At 44.5% G+C, this 23,115-nt stretch overlaps 1 protein-coding gene and 1 long non-coding RNA gene across 13 annotated transcripts in view; one reads left to right on the forward strand and one right to left on the reverse strand.

Annotated features, from left to right (window-relative positions):
* The window catches only part of TIAM1 (TIAM Rac1 associated GEF 1), a 440,670-nt gene that overhangs the window by 127,323 nt on the left and 290,232 nt on the right, over nt 1-23,115 (reverse strand). For 10 of the 12 annotated variants that reach the window (NM_001353690.1, NM_003253.3, NM_001353691.1 and 7 more), the window contains 2 exons: nt 20,270-21,243; nt 6,002-6,449 (listed from right to left, as the gene is read on the reverse strand). In NM_001353690.1, coding sequence (NP_001340619.1) covers nt 6,002-6,449; nt 20,270-21,232 — 1,411 coding nt within the window. In that variant the 5' untranslated portion in view covers nt 21,233-21,243. Of the gene's footprint in view, nt 1-6,001; nt 6,450-20,269; nt 21,244-22,670; nt 22,956-23,115 lie in introns of all 12 variants that reach the window. The other 2 variants (NM_001353688.1, XM_047440969.1) reach the window with 1 other exon arrangement.
* LOC105372777 (uncharacterized) lies at nt 9,680-16,718 on the forward strand. Its single transcript, XR_937661.3, has 2 exons — nt 9,680-9,917; nt 16,040-16,718. It is a non-coding gene; the product is annotated as an uncharacterized LOC105372777 (long non-coding RNA).

Below are 23,115 nucleotides of genomic sequence, written 5' to 3' on the forward strand. Positions count from 1 at the left end.
ACCCTGTCAGAGGCTGAAAATTAAAGCACGTGGAACCCAGGAAGTAAAGAGAATGGAGCCAGGCTTGGACTCAAGTCTTGGATGGGCCTAAAGAAGGACAAAGATCTTAAATTGTAGCTTCTCAGCCTGCCCGGGTTTCCTTCCTGCATGCCCTCAAGTTCTCTCAAACCCTTCCTTTGGGTTTTAGAATGATTCATTACAGGTCTCCTCACAGACATAGGGTCTTGTGACTCCTCTGTCCCGAGGCAGAGGTCCTCCAGGCCAGAACTTTGCCTGGCACTATGTGAGGATCAGAAGTCACTACCGTCCGATTGAAGCCCATTCAAATATGTCTCGTATGATATGCAACCAGAAAAATCTAGAAAATGTATTTAGTTCCAGACCATGCCCTTGGATAAAACAATATATAATACCAGCGTTAAGTACTTTAAGGATAAGAAAAACAATGATACATTTTTGGTCTAACATCCCATCTATAAACTTTTTTTTTTTCTAGAAGCCAACCATGCCCTTGTTCCTACTGAAAGAGGAAATCTATGGCACACATACAAAGGCCTGGGAGAAGCCGGAGTCCTGGTCCATGCATAATTGCACTGTGAAACTAACAAGATAGTAGCAACAGAATATTTTATAGACTTGTGGCAAGATGGCTTCCATAGACTCCTTCCATTATCATCTAAACTTGAGGCTCACTTTAATAGCAATTATGAGCTGAACATTTACTCCAAACTAACTGAAATCAATTTCAGGGGAAGCCAGGGTATAACTTTATGACTCTTCCTCAACTTCAACATAAGCTGTCCGTCCATTTTCACCATTTTCCTTACCACAAACAAGTGCCACACTTCCTGTGAACTGCACAACCCTTGAAAGTTCAATCTATTCGGCTACAATGGGAATCTGTCAAGCAAATTTGCTTATATGCGATTAGTAGTGTAGAATGATGCAGATCAATGGAAAGGTCACACTGGTTCAAGGGCAACTTTTCCTAGCCTATAATATTTCACATTACCACAGAATAGCTGTTGAACTCTACGTCCCTCCAAACAGATGAATGTAGCATATTGATATGCCCTGCCCACTTATTTCACATTTTTTTTCTCTTGGTACAGTTTGACCATGGGCTCTGCTTACAAGTCCTTATTGCACGGTGCTGCTGAGCATCATGATTTCATACTTGTGGTCCTTGTCTCCATAATTTAGGAGTCTCAATTATTCCTTCTACCCATTCAAGTTACAGTTGCTTCTTTTTTCAAAGGTAAAGCCCTATGCTAATGCTTTTTTGAAAGATAAAGTTTGCCAGGCACAGTGGCTTATGCCTGTAATCGCAGCACTTTGGGAGGACAAGGTAGAAGGATTACCTGAGCCCAGGAGTTCAACACCAGTGTGGGCAATATAGCGAGGCCTCGTCTCTACTAAAAATAAAAAAAATCAGCCAGACATGCCTGCGGTTCCAGCGACTCAGGTGGCTGAGCTGGGAGGATTGTTTGAGCCCAGGAGGTTGAAGCTGCAGTGAGCCATGATCATGCCACTGCACTCCAGCCTGGGCAACAGAGCAAGACCCTGTCACAAAAAAATAAAAATGAAAGATAAAGTTTTATATTGCTTATTGTTAAAAAATTTTAGTGGAGTTCTGCAGGGTTATTTTTATTTTTTATTACTATTATTTTTGTAGATATGGGGTCCCACTGTTGCTCAGGCTGGAGTACAGTGGCACAATCATAGCTCACTGCAGCCTTGAACTCCTGGGCTCAAGTGAACCTCCTATCTCAGCCTCCCAAATAGCTGGAACTACAGGCATATACAACCATACCTGGCTAATTTGTGTATTTTTTTGTAAAGACAAGGTCTCACTATGTTACCCAGGTTGGTCTCAAATTCCTGGCCTCAAGTGATCCTCCTGCCTCAGCCTCCTATAGTGCTGGGATTACAGGAGTGAGGCACCACACCAAGCTAATTTCTTTTAGTTTGGGGTTTAAAAGTTGCATGGTACAATTTAAATACATACCTGTAGAGTAGTCTGCCCCAACTCTATTTTTCTCAAATCCCAAAGATTTTGAGGATCTCAAGGCTTTTCAGGAACACTTGTATGAAAAAGCAGAATAATCTGTACCTCCTATTTCCATGCCTTAGGCTAGCACAGATTAGAGAGACAAAGAAATAACAAAAATGGGAGGGGGAAACCGTTTTCCTCTAAGTCAGAGGTTCTTATGATGGGGCAAACTTGGCAATGTCTGGTGACCTTTCTGGTTGTCACAACTTGGGGGAAGGTGCTATTGGCATCTAGAGGACAGAGCCTAAAGAAGCTGTTAAGCATCCACAATGCCCAAGACAGCCCTCACAACAAATAATTATCCAGAAAATGTCAACAGTGTCACTGTTGAGAAACCCTGCTCTAAATAGTTTTTACGACTAATTCAACACTAATGAAAAGTAGATTCCTAACATAAAAGGAGCAACACACGTTAGCATAGCTTAAGAAGAGAGAAAGAAGCCTGTGGATAATGAATTAGGGGACACTCACCAATCCTAACACACGCACCTAGTGAATGTTGTATGGTCCCATCAGGTAACTGTTTGTATAATTTTTCAACTTTGATTTAGAATCATCCACAACAAAGCACCACCAAAAGTGATTAAAATCAGCTTTTACTCATGATCAACTCGTTCCAACTTTAAGATGAACGCGAAGCAGCAAATCTGAGAACCACGTTCTCCCTGGTGAAAGTCTGTTTACCTTCATCTTCCCTGGAACATAATCTGTACGTTCTTCCGTTGTCCATGGAAACACTCCAGAGACTAATTCCAAATGAAATCTTTTTTTAAAAAAATCAATTACTTTGCCTAATGGGAAAGAATCTTTAGGGAAAAAAAATCTCTATCCCACAGTTCCAACATGTTCTGCTTTTTATTTCCCAATATTCAAGCATTGCTAAGAAAAAGTCAGCTGCAAGTCTTGCTTTTGAGCAGCAAGGACAAAGCCCTGAGGATGTCAACAAATCCTGGGAACCCATCAGGATGAAGCAAAGAACTCGGTGGCTCCATGTTCTGGGCCTGAATTCCAACAGGCTGTGTCACTCAGCTCTGCGTCACCAAGAAAGTAAAGACTCCCTTCCCTAAAGGGCCTGTGGGCTGTGCTCCTGGACACCTGCACCCTGACTTCCTGTGTCATTTACTCTCTGAGGGAATGGCAGAAACAAAATAAACCCCTCTGATATGTCCCAAGTAAAAAAAAGCCAACTAATCATTTTTATTTTATGCCACTAACATTGCTGCTCTCAAACTGAGAGTGAGAATCCCCTGGGAAGCTTGTTTAAATCACAAAGTCAGGGTCTGCTGAAGGCTGAATTGTGTCCTCCAAACATCCTAAATCCAGTTAGCTCAGAATATGATCATCTTTGGAAATAGGGCCTTTAAAGAGGTAATTACGATAATATGAGGTCACGTGGGTGGTCCCTGATCCAATATAAATGGTGCCATTATAAGAAGGAATTTGAACATAGACAAGTAAAGGGAAGACCATGTGAAGACATCGGAAGAAGACAGCCATCTCCAAGTCAAGGAGAGCAGTCTCAGAAGAAACCAACCCTGCCAACACCTTGATCTTGGATTTCCAGCCTCCAGGACTGTGAGATGATACATTTCTGTTATTTCCACCATCCAGTCTGTGGTGCTTTGCTATGGCAGCCCCAGCAAACTCATCCAGGGCCTACCTCCAAATCTTGTGATTCAGCAGGTGTGGGGTACAACCCAGAAAGACCCTCAAGAGGCTGTGATGCAGGTGATCTTCGGATCAAGCTATTAAGAACTTGGCACTAATTAATAAAATGAATGCTAAGATGGGCTGCTAAGGATAAGAGGCTGCAGCGTCCAGAGGTGTGCCCATCTAGGGGAGAAGCGGGAAGTGGAAGAGGAAGAAGCCTTTCCCCTCATCTCCTCTCACTCCCCCAGAGCAGAGCAGCTGGTGTGATCCAGGCCCCTCAGACATAACCCTGTAACACCTCCAAGTTAAGCCAAGGCACGTCACACATGAGAAAGAACACTGCAGTTCTCCAAAATGCTTCCACACGATGCACATCTATGTCTCATAGGCAAGACCACTACAGCAAAAAATCATCAAAAGATAATGTTCTAGGAGGCCGGGCACCAATGCAACTGTAAACCCAAGGCCAAAGCAGGAGGATCGCTTGAGGCCAAAAGTTGGAGATGAGCCTGGGCAACATAGTAAGACCCTGTCTCAACAAAAAATAAAAACATTAGCCAGGCATGGTGGCACATGCCTGTAGTCCCAGCTACTTGGGAGGCTGAAGCAGGAGGATCACTTGAGCCCAGGAATTTGTGGCTGCAGTGAGCTGTAACTGTGCCACTGCATTCCAGCCTGGAAGACAGAGTGAGACCCTGTCTCAAACAGAAAAAAAAAAAAAAAAAAAAGAAAAAGATAATGCTGTAGGAATAGCTGAGCAACAAAACTTCAGAAGGAGCCAGGGCCTCTGAGTGACTTCATAGAAAAGAGTTATCACACAAGCCTTAAATCATCTATTTTTGATAGGTGGGAGGGAAATAAAGTTCTGTCTTGCTTATGGCATTGGGATTGGCATTGCTGGTCTCTGGCACATGCAGCAAAACCTATATCCTGACCAATACCCTCCCTTCCTGTGTCATCAGGCATCTGAGCAACAGCTGGCACCAAGAATAATGGGGCCAACGCAAGTCCTACTTGTGCAAGGGTTGACCTGCACCTGCACATCACCGCATAGGCATTTGTGTTCACCTCACTGAGCAGAGCTCTAGGCTGCTCCATGTCTCTAGGATTGCATGTTCCCAAACCAACCACAGTCTGTGAAATCCAGTATCGAACGGTCTAGTTTGATACTGATAAGCCCAGGCTTCTTCCTCTTGTGCCCTTCCATCAATCCTGTTGACCTATCTAACCTAGCCTGCCATGTATTAACCCTGTTTCAAGTCTAGCTTGGGAAGAAAAGTCTGTGTGTTTGAGAAGTGTTTTTCCTTTTAAAATATAGAGCTCATAAATATATTACATTTTCTAGGCTACCAGGATGTATGCAGTACGTGCAACAATACGTACATGTACTTCACGAAAATGTGCAAAATGACAACAAATACCAACAAATACAAGCATGGTTATATAAACAGAAAATAAAGTGATCTACACATGCATGTCTGTATCTATATATACACAGTCAAAAACACAAAGTTTGACTATTAAATAGTGACTGGCTTTTTCATAAACATGATGGTCTATACAATCCATTAATATCAGGTTGAATCCTATGAAATTAACATTATTCTACCAATTTTTTCCTTTAAACATGGCAATTTCATAGAATTCAAGCTAATAAATTTCCCTCCAAAATAGTCACTTTGAAAGACAAAAAGCTGGATGAGTCCAAAAAGATTTGGTTTTTTTGGAACTCATCCTTTGAAACTGTCATCAAACCAGTTGCATACATGCCAAAACTAGACATGAGATGCTCCTCTAGCGTTAACTGTGAAAAGAGAAAATCAAACATCATTTGCAGGGGTGGGGATGGGAGAGTTACTAATTAGGGGGCATAAAGTTTCACTTAAGTCACATGAATAGGTTCTAGCTTATTTATTTGTTTGTTTGTTTATTATGAGCTGGTGTCTTGCTATGTTGCCCAGGCTGGTCTTGAACTCCTGGGCTCAAGTGAACCTCCTGCCTCCCAAAGTGCTGGGATTACAGGTGTGAGCTACTATGCCCAGCCCAGATGACTAGATTCTAGAAATCTGCCTTACAACATTGCACTTGTAGTCGATAATGCCATATTGCACATTTTAAAATGTAAGAGGGTAGATTTCATGCGAAGTGCTCTTACTATGATAAATGTTTTAAATTAGTATGATTTTCAAATTCTGTATAACAACAACAACAACAAACCCACCCATCCCGTGAGTATGTGCACAACGGGGCACCTCTATTGGTGCATTTGGCACATAGCCGGGGCCCTCCCGCTCTCACCTTTCAGGGACACCCAGTAGTGCTTCCACTTCCTCCGGGTGGCTGACTCCACCTTCTTGTTCTTCTTGTGCACCAGGAAGTTCTTGACGGCCAGGGCGCCGGCCTTGCGCACCGTGCCCTGTGCGGCGGTCAGCAGGATGTCCGACTGGCCCGGAGAGCTCAGGGTGCCGCTGCTCTGCTCATCGCTGTGCGCCGAGCCGGCCTCCTCCAGGCTCTCGCTGTTGGTGGTGCTCATCTCCAGCTCCCGCCGGAAGTTCTCGTACACCCCCTGACGAGCCGCATCCCCGGTGGAGCTGCTGCCGCTGTCGCTGCCCACAAAGGCCCGGCCTGTGGTGGGTGAGTAGCTGGAGTTGGTGGCATTAGATCGCCTGGACAGGAGGTCCGTGTCGGTAGTGGCCCCTTCAATCCCACTGTCTGCAAACTCACTGCCCTCGCCTGCATTAACATCCTTGGGAGCAGAAAGAGAGAGCAAAGAAGACAAGCGTCACGTGGAGAAGGAACCCAGGGTCACGTGGAGAAGAGCCCTGGGTCCAGCCAGGGCTCTGTAGCAGCGGGATACGCATAAGGCACAGCCACTCCTGACGGCTCCTGGACCAGGTCCTGCTCAACCCTGGACCCGCACAGACCCAGCAGAGCTGCTCAGGAAACCTTCAGCCGCCCTCCGTGAGAGCACACGATTTGGAATGTTCAAGAAATATAAAAGAAATAAGGAGCACTTCAAAGAGCTTATTATTTCTCTAAGATAATTAACGAATTGGCAAATTCGCGATTGAGATTCTACCGCTGCCATGCTGAGAACCCAGCATCCTCAGCCTCATCAGCTTATCCTGAACTCCAGGAAATTCTGCAGGCAGATGAGTTAATTGTTCCAGACGTAGGGGGTGACAATGAATAACTAGGTCTTTATAGCTGATATCTTTAAAAATAAATAAATAAAAGGCATGCTTAGGAGTCTCTTTTATAATGGAGTGACTGAAAAGATAGCTAGTGCACCGCCTCACCCACTCACCCAGCACGGCTCCGTGTTCCAGGAGCAGGCAAGAATCCTCATCCTCTAATCAGATTCGCTTCTTGAAAACAAGCAGCCTCTCACTCTGCATTGTGCTAAATAAGTCTGTGGGGCCTACAGCTCCATTGAGCTCTCCAATTACCTTGCCCTTTCAAAGCTGGGATGCTAGGAGCCTTGGGCAGGCTACTTGCTGCCCCAGGGCCAAATGACAGCTCGGGGCAACTGCCAAGATACTGAGGGTATCAGTTCCCAGTTTAAAAACATTGGGAACTTCCAAAGCTGCTTCTGCTCTGAAGCTGAACATTTCCGGGACAGACAGGTCTGTTCTGAAATCAGTATCTTAATTGCTCTAAAGAGCTACAGGCATTTCCATAAACAATAATTAAATAATGGTAGTCATCAAGGAAGGATACTCACTGCAGTATTGGACAGACAGCTCAAAGTCTTATGCATAAGAAAGGAGCCTAATTGTTCTCCAAGGAAGAGAACGGGAGGCTGAGTCTAATATAGAAGATGCCAAAGTAATACACAGTTTGGCAGTTTCACCAATTTGGGGGCCTTTAGTCTCACAAATGGCTCATTCTGGTTCAAACACGTAAAAACTAACCAGATATTCTGAATTACCATACAAATGAATGCTCTGGGCTCCTATCTTTGCTGAGAGGCAATGGGGGCAGTATGAGCCATGCCACAAACTAATACTGGCCTACACAAGGCCCCAGACAGACACTGTGCCCATATCTCCACGAACTTCACTTAGTTCTAAGAATTGCTCAAAGTTCACCTTCATCATGAAGAAATACTAAATAAGCAACTAAAAGAGATGTATAGCAAGACATGGAAAAAAGAGGGTGGTGGGAGTAGAATGGCAGCAGGAGATTGCTGGGTGAGCTTCTAGGGATCAACTCCATTATAAATGGAGCTTAGACCCCTGGGAGTTAGAGGGACTTAAGGGAAAGAAAGAAACCACGAATGCAGCTCAGATGCAGACCCCTATAACTGCTGGTTCCCACAGCTTTGCTATCTGCTATCCTGCTTATTAACATCCACGGGTGGTCATGAAAGACCTAGAGCCAATTGGTAAAAATCCTCTACACAAACAGGAAAACACTGTTATCAACCCACATTTCTCCTTGGCAGGGACATTGACCATATGCTTCCCTCTTGATACAAGACAAAAGAAAATTTGACAATTGTTGATTATTCAGGATAACCAATGAGTTACACAAGATGAGTCTGTGAATTTTCCAAACTTTTGGATTCATTTTCATGTCTCAGTCCTTCTGGGAAGAAGGTTTGGTATGCGTGAAAACATCAGCTATTAAGCTCTCTCTAAAATGCAAAGAGGTGAAATGCTTCTCTGCAAGACAGGGAAATTTAGCTACACAGGTAACATCCCTATTCCATAAGAGAGACTTTGGTACAAAGGAGAAAAAATGATCCCAGGCATCTTGTAATTCCCAGAGCTCCAGAAGAGGAAGGGACTTGGCAAAGCTATCTCATTGATTGACAGCCTGCGGCTTAGAAAATCACAAGTCTGGTTGGTGGCAGATGGGAAGTTGAAACCTATCCTTCCAAGTACACTTTCCACTATTATATGGTGACCTCATGACTCAGCTGCAGGTAGCACCTGACCAGATTCTGTCTAAATATTCAGTCTCAGCAGGGCATGGTGGCTCATGCCTATAATCCCTGCACTTTGGGAGGCTGAAGCGGGTGGATCACCTGAGGTCAAGAGTTTGAGACCAGCCTGGGCAACAAGGTGAAACCCCATCTCTATTAAAACTACAAAAAAATCAGCCACACATGGTGGTGCACACCTGTAGTCCCAGCTACTCGGGAGGTTGAGGCAGGTGGGAGGATCACTTGAGTCCAGGAAGTGGAGGTTGCAGTGAGCCAAGACTGCACCACTGCACTCCAGCCTGGGCAACAGAGAGAGAGAGACCCTGTCTCAAAACAAAACAAACAAACAAATCAATCCCATGCCTTCCCCCTTTTCTTACCAACAATGGCTCTTCCAGATTTTTTCAGCAAAAGCTGAGTGACTGTGACCTGCCTGGCAAAAAGCTAAAACCTGCAAGTGCAAGAAAGGGGAAGGAGGATGGGAAGAGAGAATAAGGAAAAGCGAGGCAGAAACCCGAAAGACCAACTCTCAAGGGCGTGTCTCATAAGAGTTCACTACATTGCCAACACCATCCATCCCTTTACAGAAGGCCCTCACATCTGTCTCTATTTAAACTAAGAGTAAGGCCTCAATGGACACTCACCTCTGTATAAGACCTGAACATCTGCTCATGCCAACTGATGCTGTAGCTTTGCCATGACCAGACTGTGTGTGTTCAACTCTGGGACAACCACTAAACCAAGCAAGGAAGTGATTACTCCAGGTAAAAGACCTGCGGGCCCCAGGTGAGCTTGCATGCTTTGGAAGCAAACAGCTCCGTGTCATCAACGGGGAATGCTCTTGTCATCTGTGATCCAAGACAACTCCACCTTGTCTCCTTAAGTGGTTATTCAGGCTCAGTGGTACACATGCCCCCACTGATATGTGACCCAGCCCATTGAGAAACGGATGCAGGTTGCCCAGCCCCAGCCCTTATTCAGTCATGAAACTTGGGATGTCCCAAATTCCCAGAAGTCCATTCTCCAGCATTGCTGGAAAGGGTGATGACCCAGCCAGAGGTGCTACTCAACACCGCTCTTTCTTTCCTTCATTGTGTTGCAAACTTACTTAGTGGTCATCTTTCAGAGGGGCTCCTGCTACTACCCACCTGAGAATCCTGATCCTCCCCCTATCCCAGAAGCACCTGTAAACCTCCCCAGTCTTCCCAGCAGTGAGGAATACAGAAGACTGACACCACGGAATAGTCCCAGGGGAGCCTCAGCAGTTTTTGTAGCAACTGCAAGGTAGGTTACCTCTTAGAGTCAAATACTAAATTTTAATCAAAAAAGGCAGAGGACATCAAGGGAGATGGTAAGATCCTGGCTAGACAGAGAAATAATTCTAAACATGGTTCATGATCTAGCTGAGACTTCCAGAAAACAGCTCAAAATAAACTCTCCATGTTAGAACCACTCCGTTGAAGAGATTTCCGATCATGAACAACATTCACAGGGCCGAGAGGCTCTTCAATCCTGTTCTCCCAGGACAAATTCTCTGAAGCCAGATTTTCAGGGCACTCACCAGTTGCCATTCCACTGGCAGCTTCCCCAAAAAATGAATGTATGCACAAGTGGCCAGCTGTAGCCTAATACATACAACAGCTGTGGGCAAGAGTTTTCTTAGCATTTGAGCTGGGCAACAAATGCTTAAATGAGCTCCCAGGCTAAAATGAGGGAGGCAAGAGGCAAATTCAAAGCCTGTTTTCACTGCCTTGAAAACTGGAGGGTCACGCAGCATGAATGTAGACTAATGACACATTGTGGTAAGGCTCCAGTTGTTTTGACAGGAGACTTCAAATACTACCAAAGGGAGAGGTTTTCTGTGCTAATGATGTGCGAACACAATTTTGAAAATGCAATTAGCCAGAAAGTGCAAAGGCTCTGGGACAATTCCAGGACCAGTAGAATCAATTGGCCACTTGTAGTTAAGTTATAAGTCGAATGCAATTAGATACTGTTTCCTTTGTCACTTGAATTTCCCTGATAGATCCAGCTTGAATACACCTGTGTTAAGATGCTAACTACAATGCAGAATTCACTGAATTCCAGGGGGTAAAGAAATGTGGACCTACAGAAACCCTGAATTAGAACTGTTTCTGGCTTGTTAAATTCTAACATGTCCTTCCTCTGATTTATCATCTTCTTCCTAACCCCAAAATATTAAGTACCCCTCACTACACACACACACACACACACACACACACACACACACACACGTATATTATCTTTGGCTCTCAGTATTATCTCCTTGGTATTCTCAGTATACTCTCCTTTGATAATCTCAGTACAGCAAGTATCAATTCTAGGTAAATGACTCTGAACCAATCCATGCCTCAATTTCTTGATATGTATAATGGGGAGAGCAACACATCTACTTTGTAAGACACTGTATAAGACACTGTGAGATTGAGTTAACCCAGGAAAAGTGTCTTAAACTGAGCCCAGCACATAGTACCTGCTCAAAAATGTTAACTATAATTACGGTCATCTCTACCTTCAGCCCTACTTACATCTTGGCCCAAGGAGAGAAGGCATTGCCTGAACTCAGTTGCTAACTTCCTGCACCAACATGGAAGAAAGGTCTCTGAGAAACCTGGGAAAAACACAGGCATACCAAGGCTGGTGCCAGCCTAATACTAATTAGGCTTGTTAATTGTTCTCACGTTCACAAAACAGCACACTAAACTAGGAAAATGGTGACGTTCTCTACATTATAAATTAGTAACTACTGGTCACTATTATGAAATACTAATAATTGCCATCCCTGATTTGCCAGAATAGGAAATCAACTCTATTTTCCCTCCCCTTCCTTTCTTAGGGCAAAATCTCTATGCCTTTCTTTTTATGTTTCCAACAACCCATTCCTTTTCTTCTAACGATTTCCAATGGGAGTGACTCACAATTTCAGCTACAAGCATTGGAACCAAAATTCCTACTGTTACTAAAAAGGGATTCCAAAGTAAGTTGGCAAAAGCTTGAAATGTTCCTTCAGGTAACTCCTGATTGGAGAAGCTTTATGTCTAAGTTAAATGAATCATTGCCTCTCCTTTCATCTGCTTTTCTATGTATGTGCTTATACCTTACAGTCATCCCTCCCCTCCCTCCTCACTATCCATAATATATCAGAGACTCAGTTTTTTCTCTTCCCCTCCGAGTGCCACATCACTGGTTGAGCAATAAGCTCTCTCTTCTAACCCATCTTCCTTCCATCAATCCATCCGGCACACCACTGCCAGGTAAATGTTCCAGGAGCAATGTGGAGGACTCCTCAGACTGCTGTTCAAGACCCTCCCCCGGTGTCCCGCGTTAAAACTTGAGCTTCGATGTCCCCACCCACTAGTGAAATTGAAGAACTCATTCCAGGGCATACTCCCAACCTTTCTCACTCCCAAGAATACTCACGTCCCCCCTTTTACTACAACCAGAAGGCTTCTCTGTGCTTCCTCCAACTACCATGCCAACCTCTCCACAGCATCTCCTCTCCCACCTCCACCCCACCCCAGCCACCCTGAGCTCCTCCTCCTTGCTCGAATGTGCTGGGCACCCTCCCACATTGCAACTCAGGAGCCAGCTCCCTCCTCCCCTCCTCTCCTTCCAAGTCCCTATCCAGGTCTGCCCTCACCCTGACCACCCTGTCAGAAATTGCCCCCCACATCCCCCACACCCCATCTTCCTCAACATGCCCTGTCTTTCTTCCACAGCACATCGCTTCCTTATTATGCTAACTGTTTTCTGCCACACACACACCCACTTCACCCCAACGAGCTCCACGAGCTTGTGGATCTTTCCTTGTTGACGCATCCCAAGTGCCAAGAATAAAGCCTGGCATGGGGAAGGCACTTCAAAAATAATTGCTGAATGAACTCACTGCTGCTCATTTTCCACCACAATCTCAAAACAAGGAAAACAGTTTCTCATGGAATGCACTGCAGCTGGAGTTAAAGGTTTTGTCATTTCTAAACTCAGCTCATGCTCAACTAAAGTTGAGGTGACAAATGAGTCCTAGCTATAAAGCTTACATTTATAGGCTTTAAGCAGCCTAGTTGGATTATGTCTTGTGTGGATGCAATCGGAGTTCACTTAAATTTTTGTTCTTTAACTCTTTTAAAAAATTGAGGAAGTAAGAAAGATATATTAGGCTGGACGCAGTGGCTCATGCCTGTAATCCCAGCACTTTGGGAGGCCAAGGCGGGTGGATCACGAAGTCAAGAGATCTAGACCATCCTGGCCAACACAGTGAAACCCCGTCTCTACTAAAAATACAAATATTAATGCACCTGTAGTCCCAGCTACTCCGGAGGCTGAGGCAGGAGAATCACTTGAACCCGGGAGGCGGAGGTTGCAGTGAGCTGAGATTGCACCACTGCACTCCAGCCTGGCGACAGAGTGAGACTCCGTCTCAAAAAAAAAAAAAAAACCAGAAAGATATATTGAACTATCTTATGGCCCAAGCTAGATACTCGGTCAACTGGTGGTCCAAAGCCAACTGGGCCCAAATGACAATGTGACAGGCTGGTCAGGTGTTTCCTAAGTTCTCCATTGGGATCCATGGAGACCCTGTCAGGCCTTTAGGGCAGGCTGGCTTTATGGCCACATCCAACAGTCACACATTTACAGTTATGCTGTAAAAAAACAATGATTACACATTGTTATGACACAATTTGAGTCAAGGGGCTCAACTTTCCTCTATTCTTATACTAGGAATGTGATCTTCTTTTTTTTTTTCCTTTTTCTTTTTTGAGACAGGGTCTCATTCTGTCATGCAGGCTGGTGGAATACAGTGACATGATCATAGCTTGCTGCAGCCTCAACCTCCCAGGCTGAAGCATCCTCTCACCTCAGCCCACTACGAAACTGAGACTACAGGCACACACCACCACACCTGGCTAATTTTTTTGAAATTTGGTAGAGACAAGGTCTCACTATGTTGGCCGGGCTGGTCTTGAACTCCTGAGCTCAAGCGATCCTCCCACCTCGGCCTCCCAAAATGCTGGGATTATAGGCATGAGCCAATGCACCCGACCTAAGAATGTGATCCTCAAAAGCTGAACTGGTGGGCATAGTGGTCCATGCCTGTAGTCCCAGCTACCCAAGAGGCTGAGGCAGGAGGATCACTTGAGCCCAGGAGTTCAAGGCCGCAGTGCACTATGATAATATCTGTAAATAGCCACTGCACTCCAGCCTGGGAAACACAGCAAGACCTGTCTAAAAAAATAAAATAATAATAATAATAATAATAATAATCCTGAATGTTCCCAACCTGTATTAGCATAAATGACCAGCTCTCAAAGTATGGACTAGGGTTCCCTAAAATACTTCCAGGGAGTCAGTGAGGCTCCTCCTTTTCCAACTACCCTGTGCAAGTCCAGGTTCTGCTCATAGGGTCCAACCAAACAGTATATTGCAAGAGAGTGAATGCAAAAGTAGGTATGAGACGCTAGTGTCTTCTGTTAAGCTAGAAATCATAGAGATCTGCAAAAATGGAAAACAATGCCTCTGTCCCACATCTTTTATTTTAGAGAATAAAATATTGTATTACTTTAGAGATAGGGTTCTCATTCTGTCACCCAGGCTGGAGTGCAGTGGTGTGATCTAGCTCATGAAAGCCTCAAATTCCTAGGTTGAAGCCATCTTCCCATCTCAGTCTTGCAAGTAGCTGGGACAACAGGTACTCACCATGGCCAGCTAATTTTTCCTTTTTTTTTTTTTTTAGAGGCGAGGTCTCACTATGTTTCCTAGGCTGGTCAAAAAATATATTTTTAATATAAATAAATAAATAAATATTTTTATATAAATATATATTAATAAAATATATATATACACATATATACTTTTTTTTTTTTGAGACGGAGTCTCACTCTGTCGCCCAGGCTGGAATGCAGTGGTGCAATCTCGGCTCACTGCAACCTCCACCTCCTGGGTTCAAATGATTCTGGTGCCTCAGCCTCTCGAGTAGTTGGGATTACAGGCACCCGCCACCACGCCTGGCTAATTTTTGTATTTTTAGTAGAGACGGGGGTTTCACCATGTAGGCAAGGCTGGTCTCGAACTCCTGACCTGAAATGACCTGCCCACCTCGGCCTCCTGAATTACTTTTTAAGAGTATAAAAAGGTCTAAGAATGGCTAACATAAGCTATCTCTCAACTACCTACCCACCTTCCAACTTCCCAAAAACAGATCTTGGCAAAGAAGATATATATTCTTGTTGAAAATGCATGGGTTTGTTTGCAAAATAAATATCTCATTGCTTAACTTACGTGCCAGAAAAAGAAAGATAAAGAGAAAAGAAAAAAAAAAAAGCATCAAACAGAAGATAGAGGAGAACAGAAAAAAAAAAGGGTGTTTTAAAAATCGATTTTACATGAAAAAATTTGTTTTATAAAAACCTGAGGTTCTTAACCAGAAAGAAGCCTCTAGATGGACTTTAGGGGACCTATGGATCCCTTGAAATGATATGCAGAAGGGTGGTCCCTGTCTTTATCTAAGGAAAACGTCCACATTTTTCATCTGATTCTCAAGAGTCTGTGACCAAAGGTCAAGAATCATATGGTTGTTGATGTGCATTTTCAGCCCAGGAAACAAACTTATCTCTGAGTCATTGAAGCTCAGTTGCAAAATAAAACAAAACTTTAAACATCAAGACAATTTTTCTAGGAACTCAAGCTCCTCCTCTGACAATGCTGCACTCTTTACCTTGTTATTAATGAAATCATCAACGCGACTACTTGCTTATCAAAGAAAGCAGCCGTGAGGGATGGCTCTGCTACAGTTATCCTGGCCATCTCTCTCCGTAATCAGTGTTTTAGGTGACAAAAGTGGGCAGTAATAATTTTCTTTTCAGCCAAGTCCTTTTTTTTTTTTTTTGTATCTGTACCAAAATTGAGGGTTTTGATCTTAAAATCTGAGGATATTGAGCTGAAACCTTTTCAAGCACGGGGAGGTAGTCAGTGTGGGTGTGTGCTTTGGAAGAAAAGGCCCTCCTTGATTAGCAAGTCAGAAAGAAGACTTGGATTTTTGGCCGGGTGCGGTGGCTCACGCCTGTAATCCTAGCATTTTGGGAGGCTGAGGCGGGAAGATCACCGGAGATCAGGAATTCAAGACCAGCCTGGCCAACATGGTGAAACCCTGTTTCTACTAAAAATACAAAAAATTAGCCAGGCGCCGTGGTGCATGCCTGTAATTCCAGCTACTCAGGAGGCTGAGGCATGAGAATCGCTTGAACCTGGGAGGCAGAGGTTGCAGTGAGCTGAGACCGTGCCACTGCACTCCATCCTGGGCAACAGAGTGAGACTCCGTCTCAAAAAAAAGAATACCTGGGTTTTCATCCAGTTGTGACACCTCATCTCCTAATCTCTTTATTTTCTAGGGATGCTGCTGTGTCTGAAACTGGCCAGTGAAACCCACAAATCTATTCACCAGCACCACACCTGGCTAGGGACGCTCCGAGAGCCGGGCTCCTTGCTGGTCTCCTGAGGCTGAGGTTCCCAGAGACATGCTCAGTACAACCTGGCCGTGTTCCTTCATCTCCCAAGTGGATGAATGAAGCTCTCCTCACAAGCATGCACAACGGCTCCACGCCAAAGCTTCCCACAGAACACAGAACCTGGCTATAAGGCTCCATCAAACGGCAGGTTTCTCTCTCTCTCCAACTCACCCACTGAAAGTTTCAGAGACACGGGAGAGCAGAACCCTAGAACAATGAGGCAATCTTCAACATCACAACTAACAACTCCTATTTATTAAGCATTTGTATGTGTAAAACTGTGCCATGAGTTTTCCATTCATTCCCTTGCAGAATCTCCAGCCTCATTTAAGAGGCACTGAGATCCATGGAAGTCAAATAACCAAGAGGTAACAACCTCAAAGTTGCAAGCTCAGATATGCTGCTAACTTCCTTGTCTGACACTAGGCAGCCCCCTCCTCTGTCTGTAACCAAAGAAATTCATAAAGTTCAGGCCCAAAGACGAACTAGCCATCAACTAAATCTAAGGAGTAACCTATTAAGTACTTTTACAGAAACCAACAGAAATAAATTCTGCTTCAAATAGCATGAGGCTTTACTCATACTGACTCCCAAGACAAACTTTTCTGCACAGCGCACATGTGGATGCACAACAAACATGCTCATAAAATACACGAATTAAACCAAAAATTGCCAGCAGACCCTGTAGCACATATGTGCCACCATTCAAGACTTAAATGTGAACTCCTGTGACTTCACATTACAATAATCCATCCAACTACTGAAAAAATCCAAAAACAGGAAAAAGGGCCAAAAACCCATTTTTGATCATTTTCAAATCAAATGAAGTTGTTCACATTATTTCAGATAAAATGTGTTTTCTTCCAGGCTTAGAGGTCATGCTCTTGGGTCAAATGTCTGCCAGGAACTCTTTTCTGGGGAGTAAAATTGCTGACAGGATGATCACAGATTCAACTACATCATCAGGGCAGCCAAGGAGACTTTAATATCTATGATTCAAGCTCACTGGAGAGGTCCCCTGGGTCAAAAACTTTTACCAAAAAAAAAGAAAAAAATTTTTTTTTAAAAAAGCATTCTTTTCAAGGAAGCTTCCACACCCACTGCCTCTTAAAATACACTGTTTGGAACATAGTGGGCTCTCAAGAAATAGCGTTGGATGAACACGCCAAACTTAGACTAGGAAATGTGGGCGGGTGGATAGTGTTGTGCATAATTCCGGGGTTTGTTTCAAGTCATTAAAGATCCTCACTCAACATATAAAGTCAATACAAAAATAATACTTCCGTGCATTTTATACGCTCCACAAGAGGTTTCCATGCATGGTATCCTATTTGGTTCTCCCAATGGCCCTGTGGGAGGCTGGTGTCACTCAGACTGGACAGCAACAGATCCTGGGGCACAGAAGATGGAGTGACTGGCCCAAGGTCACCACTGGGTAAGCACACATGCCAGGATGCAAATGCACTTCTTAGGATTCCTGGCCAATGGCACTTCCCATTACATTAAGCTGCCTAAGCAGTGATTTTATGAGACACCACCTTTAGATGATCTCACTTCCATATATTCACAATTTTAGAAGGTGACAAGCCAAAGAATAGAAATTTCGTATAATAATGACACATGAGAGCTTTCAGTGGTACCAGACCTAGAGGGGAGAACTGTCCTTTGCTTTGCCCATTTTCTGGGGGTAGCCGTAACTCAAAGGCTCAAATCCCCATCAGCCATCGAGTATAGGGGAGAGCCATCCCTAGTGTCAGAACCACAGAGAGCCAAAATACAACAGGGCACCCTTCTCAAATCTTACATAGCATATGCACTAACTGAGCACTGTTCAGGTAGAAATGAAAGTCCAAGGTGATGTTCTGTTTTTAACAGTCTGCGTCACTGTATCCTTCTCTAAGCTCCGAAGGCCCCATAGATCATCTCTTTGAATCAGCCTTGCAGTGCCAATCTGATAATGCCTTCAAGACAGCCCTTCAATCCCTTTCAGGTGACTCTTTAATAGGTCACATATCTCCATGATCTGTCCAATTGACAGTGCAGAAGTAGCCCTCGCAGGGTAGACAGAGGGGCTGCAGGTGGGTTATCTGGTCATTTGTGTCATTACAATCTCAATTCAGAAGAGATGGGTTTAAAATTCAGGGAGTGCATCTGGAGGCAAGCTTCAGGCTTACGTTCTCAGACCACAGATGCAGCCTTGGTAGCAACTTGGTTTCTAGGACACAAGTGTTTTTTTTTCTTTCCTTAGAGTCAAGGGGTACACGTGCATGTTTGTTACATGGATATATTATGCAATACTGAGATTTGGGCTTCTATTGAACCCATCACCCAAACAATGAACACAGTACCCAATAATTCGTTTTTCAACTCTTGCTCCCCTCCCTCCCAGCTTTTGGAGTCCCCAGTGTCTACTGTTTCCACCTTTATGAGGTACTCAAGATATTGATCCAAACAACTACCCCGAGTCCTCAACCCATATGCCTCCACTAACAATGATGAAAATTACAACAGCTAACAAAGTTGCCCTTACTGGCTGCTTCCTAAGAACCAGGCACTATGCTTCACATATTATTTCATTCTACTTTCTCAAAAAACCTTATTACCCCCATTTGACAGATGAAGAAATTAAGGCTACAAGAATGTGAACAACTTACCCAAAGTCACTCAGGTAAGAAGACGTGGAGCCAAAATATCCGGCTTGGACACCATCAGCAAAACCTGTCCTCAGGCAGGAACACAGACAGTCTAATGCCGATTTTCTTTTTCTCGGCTTCCCCTACATCCTCCATCCTATGCCCATTATATTTAGACCCCCTTTCCAGCAGAACATACCCTTGAAATGCCCATTTGACTTGCACTGGAGCAAGGCTGGAAGGTGCAGTACCACCTCCTACTGGGCAATCAGAGTGCTGACTGCAGGGAAGTCTGCTGGTCAACCTTGAGGCTGCTCCGCCATTCAAGGCAAACGGACCCAGTCTGGAATTTTAACCTGAAGCACCATCTACAAACCACCTCCACATCCTCAGCAAAAGCCAAGACTCCCTGAACTCTGCCTCAGAGAACAGAAGTACCAGAAAAGGCCCAATGCATGCAGGATTACTCCACATTTCTTTCTTTCTTTCTTTTATTGACACAGAGTCTCACTATGTTGCCCAGGTGGGACTTAAACTCCTAGGCTCAAAGCATCCCCCTGCGTCAGCCACCAAGCCGGCTCAACTGCCCAACATTTTATTATCCTAATCTTAATTATCATTGCCAGCTAAGGTAATGGTGCCTCCATTCACTAGGAAAACACTTTCAAAATCTTTTTTTTTTTTTTTTTTTTTTGAGATGGAGTCTCGCTTTTGTTGCCCAGGCTGGAGCGAAGTCTCTTAGTTTCCTCCCCACGGTTTCGTGCACTAGACCCCGAAGCAGGCAAGCTGAGCATCTTTATCCCCATTTTTCAGAGGAATGACTAGAAGTCAGGGTTTGCCCAAGGTCAAACAACTAGCTGGTTGCAAAGTAAGAATTGGAAGCCACCCATGTTATTCCTTCCGCTACACCTCCCTCCAGAGACAGGGCTGGCCAGCATCGCACGGAACAGGAAATTGAAATGGCTCCCGGTAAGGCAGCGAGCCTGCCAACCACCGAGAGAAGCTGACAAGTGACCCAAACCCGCCCAGAATTTAAAATGCCTCCTCAGAGGAGTTGCCGACTAACCTCCTCCCACCTGCTGCAGTGAAGAAATAAGTTCCAAGAGTCTGCAACCCACCATGCCTGTTTTTCCACGGGAAGGACCAAGTTAGAAAGGAAGCTTGAATAAGTGGGATGCTGTTGAAGAACTAAGATGTAGAAGCAGTTTCCCAATATGAACTTACTAGCTTTTTTCCCACTCCTATCACATCGCCACTCCCCCCACACACTTCCCTTAATCCCCACCCCTTAACCACAGAACTCTAAGAGGGGCAAAGCAGAAGAGAGAGAAATCCTCCCAAAACAGCACCAGCTGCAGCAACTACCAGGCAAACAGGGTAAAACCCGATTAAAAGATGGAAATCTTCTAAGAGCAAAGTCATGCACTTAAAGAGTCATGCACCATTCCCAAAATATTGAAACAAATTTCAATCACTTTACCTGAGTTGTTTTAGCTCTTCTGCCTTGCATGCTGTTGCTATGGCTAATTTGTGGGTTGGTGGCACCTTCAGAGAGACAGTGAGATTTCCTACAGGGAAGTGTGTTATAATTACTGTACGGAGGAGTCTCTTCAGCAGCAGCTGGTGGCATCTTATGGTTTGCAAGATTGGGAATATCAGACACCAAATTCCGACAGTAGCCTGCAAATTTGCTCCCCGGCCCCCCGTTTGCTGTCACTCCAGAGTTTTTCTGAGCATACAAGTCACCCAAGGAATTGGCTCTCTGACAGGTGCTGAGCTGCCGCGGACTCGCCCGCGTTTCCATCCCCCGAGCCTCCTCGCAGTCCTTCTCTTCGGCGGAACCCAAGATTTCTTCGTTGCTTGTTAAATGTTCTTGGCTCAGATCAGAGAGTGAGAATTCCAGGCTGTCCTCCCGCCAGATGTCTGCAGATTTGGAGCGTTTCTTCTTAAAGCTCGCCGTCTCCATGAAAGTGGGCCCATTGGATGTATAGGAATGCTGCCTCCTGCCTCCCTCAGCCAAATATGTAGCGTCATCCCCGTAAAGCCTGCTCTCCTCAGTGTCTGGCATGCTCTGCACAGAGGCTGCTGTGAGGACGATGCTGCTGTCTACGCTGGGAGTGACAGAAGAGTCAGTGTAAGACACAGGTCTCAAGCCCATGTCCACTCGGTCCACCCAGATGGGGCTCCCGAAGTCTTCTAGGGTACCATCTTGGGAGAAGGGCTCCAGGCCATTTTCAGCCAGGGACTGGGGGATGCTGGGGGTGCTGCTGGATCGGGTGCTCACTTCGGAGTTCCTGTGGATCACCTTCCCCGAGGAAGCGTGCCTGGTCCTCCGCGTCTTGTGCGAGAGGCGCAGGGAGCGGGAAGTGTGCTTGCGCCCCAGGCTGGCATGCTTTTCTCCATAAAACTCGTGCTCTACATGTTGACTTTCTGCGTTTCCCATGGTTTTATGGTCTGCAGCAAAGCGGGGGGAAAGGGGAGAATTGAGTCACTATTAGTACAGGTATAGGCATCTTAGAGAAAGCGCTCAGCCTGCAGGGAGGGCAGAACACCTTGGCTCACAGGGGTTGTTAGGTAAGTAACAGCACAACTTCCTATATGCACCTGGTAGGTTCTCGGACTCTTACCTGGGAGCAGGTGAACAGTAACATCATCTACTGAGACTGCCCCCTGAGATGTGAAATGAGCTCATAAATATGAGCATCAGAGAGTTAGACTTGTCTCTGCCCAGAGAGAAGATGGCCACAGGCCATAGCTGAGAGCGCTGCTTTTGGACAGCCAGAAACTCTGCTGACCTTGTCTTCCTTACTAAACATTTGAAGTTCTGCTCCTATCTATACATTGAAAACTCTGAAAGTACAAACCAAAATGTTCACCAAGGGAGTAATTTCTGTTTGAAATGATACACATATTTCAAAAAACAAAACTTAGAGGTGCATTTGGTAACCTCCTTCCCTCCCTGACAATGGGTACGTTTCGTTTTTTCATTTTTTTTTTTTTTTTGGCTCTATTTGAGCTCTAATGATACTTCAAAATCAATCAAAAATGGAAAACCTCAAGGTGTAAGTCTGATCAACTTTTCCTAGTAAATCAAAGTCAAAAATTAAAAAAAAAAAGCTTTGACCTTTAATGTCACAGCCTTCTGAGAACCTGGATTTTGGGGCATTTGGGGAGGGCTATGGAGGGGTGGTGGGGATGGGCAAAACAAAATAGAAAAAAATAGAAACTCCGCTCTCTGCTTAGCAGTAGATTAATGGGTTTATTTCTGGGAGCAAATCCAACCTGTGAACATTAATCTGGTACAGCATGCCCTGCAAACAGAAATTCACATTGTGAAACCACTAAGTGTGATTCCGCCTTCTGGGGCCCCCCAGGTTAATTCAAGTCCCTCCTTAATATTTTTACAGTCTCTCTCACTGACCCGATGACACAATTCTGTTACCCACAGTGGGAAAGAGAAAAATCTTCAAAGCTCGACAACTGTGACTCTACTTAGCCTATTCTTGTTCCATGAAGTCTCTCTAGCGCACTTCAAATTGTATGCACTTAAGATAACGCACATGAAAATAGCTGGAAAGGAAAGAAGAAAAACAGAGTAACTGGGCATATCTCTGAGGTGGTTCTTTTAACCACCTATAGAGCCATTCATTCAGAAAATACACATTGAGCACCTACCATGTTCTAGAAGCCAGAGATACAGCAGTGAACAAAAGGGACACATCCCCTACTCTCATGAAGCTAATTTCTAGCCAGGGAAGGCACGTGATAGACAAGAAAGTAAAAGCATCGTGGTGAAGCAGGAAGTGATATTACCGTGATCATTGCAAAGAGATCGAAAGAGCCTGGAACACAATATACCTTCACATTGATCCCAGACTTACTCTATAATTCCACTGTTCAGGCTAAAACGTTGCTGAAACTCTCACCAGCACATCTTCACTGAAATAAAATTTGTGGCAACACAAAGGGAAACCCTCCATTGAATGTTCCAGTGAGTTCAGGGGTAACTCATACAGACACCAGATGTTAAGCTGTTCCCAGGCTGGAATATTCCCCACCAGGTCACACATCACAGGAATCTCAGAGGGAATTTTCCAATAAAGACAATCTCTTTTTTACTAGGAGCAAGTAGATTTCAAAGCAATATGTTCACGCTTCTCTGGTATCTTTAAGAAGCAAGAAAAAAGATAAAAACGAAAAGATCAACGGTCTGTGCACAACCATTTATATTATCTAAATTCCTAAGAATGGTACATGCTACATTTCTTACAAGTAAAATAAATAAATATGCATTTCAATAACACTAAAGGCTTTGACCAATGCCTT

Source organism: Homo sapiens, chromosome 21 (assembly GCF_000001405.40).
Source record: "Homo sapiens chromosome 21, GRCh38.p14 Primary Assembly".
NCBI lineage: Eukaryota > Metazoa > Chordata > Mammalia > Primates > Hominidae > Homo > Homo sapiens.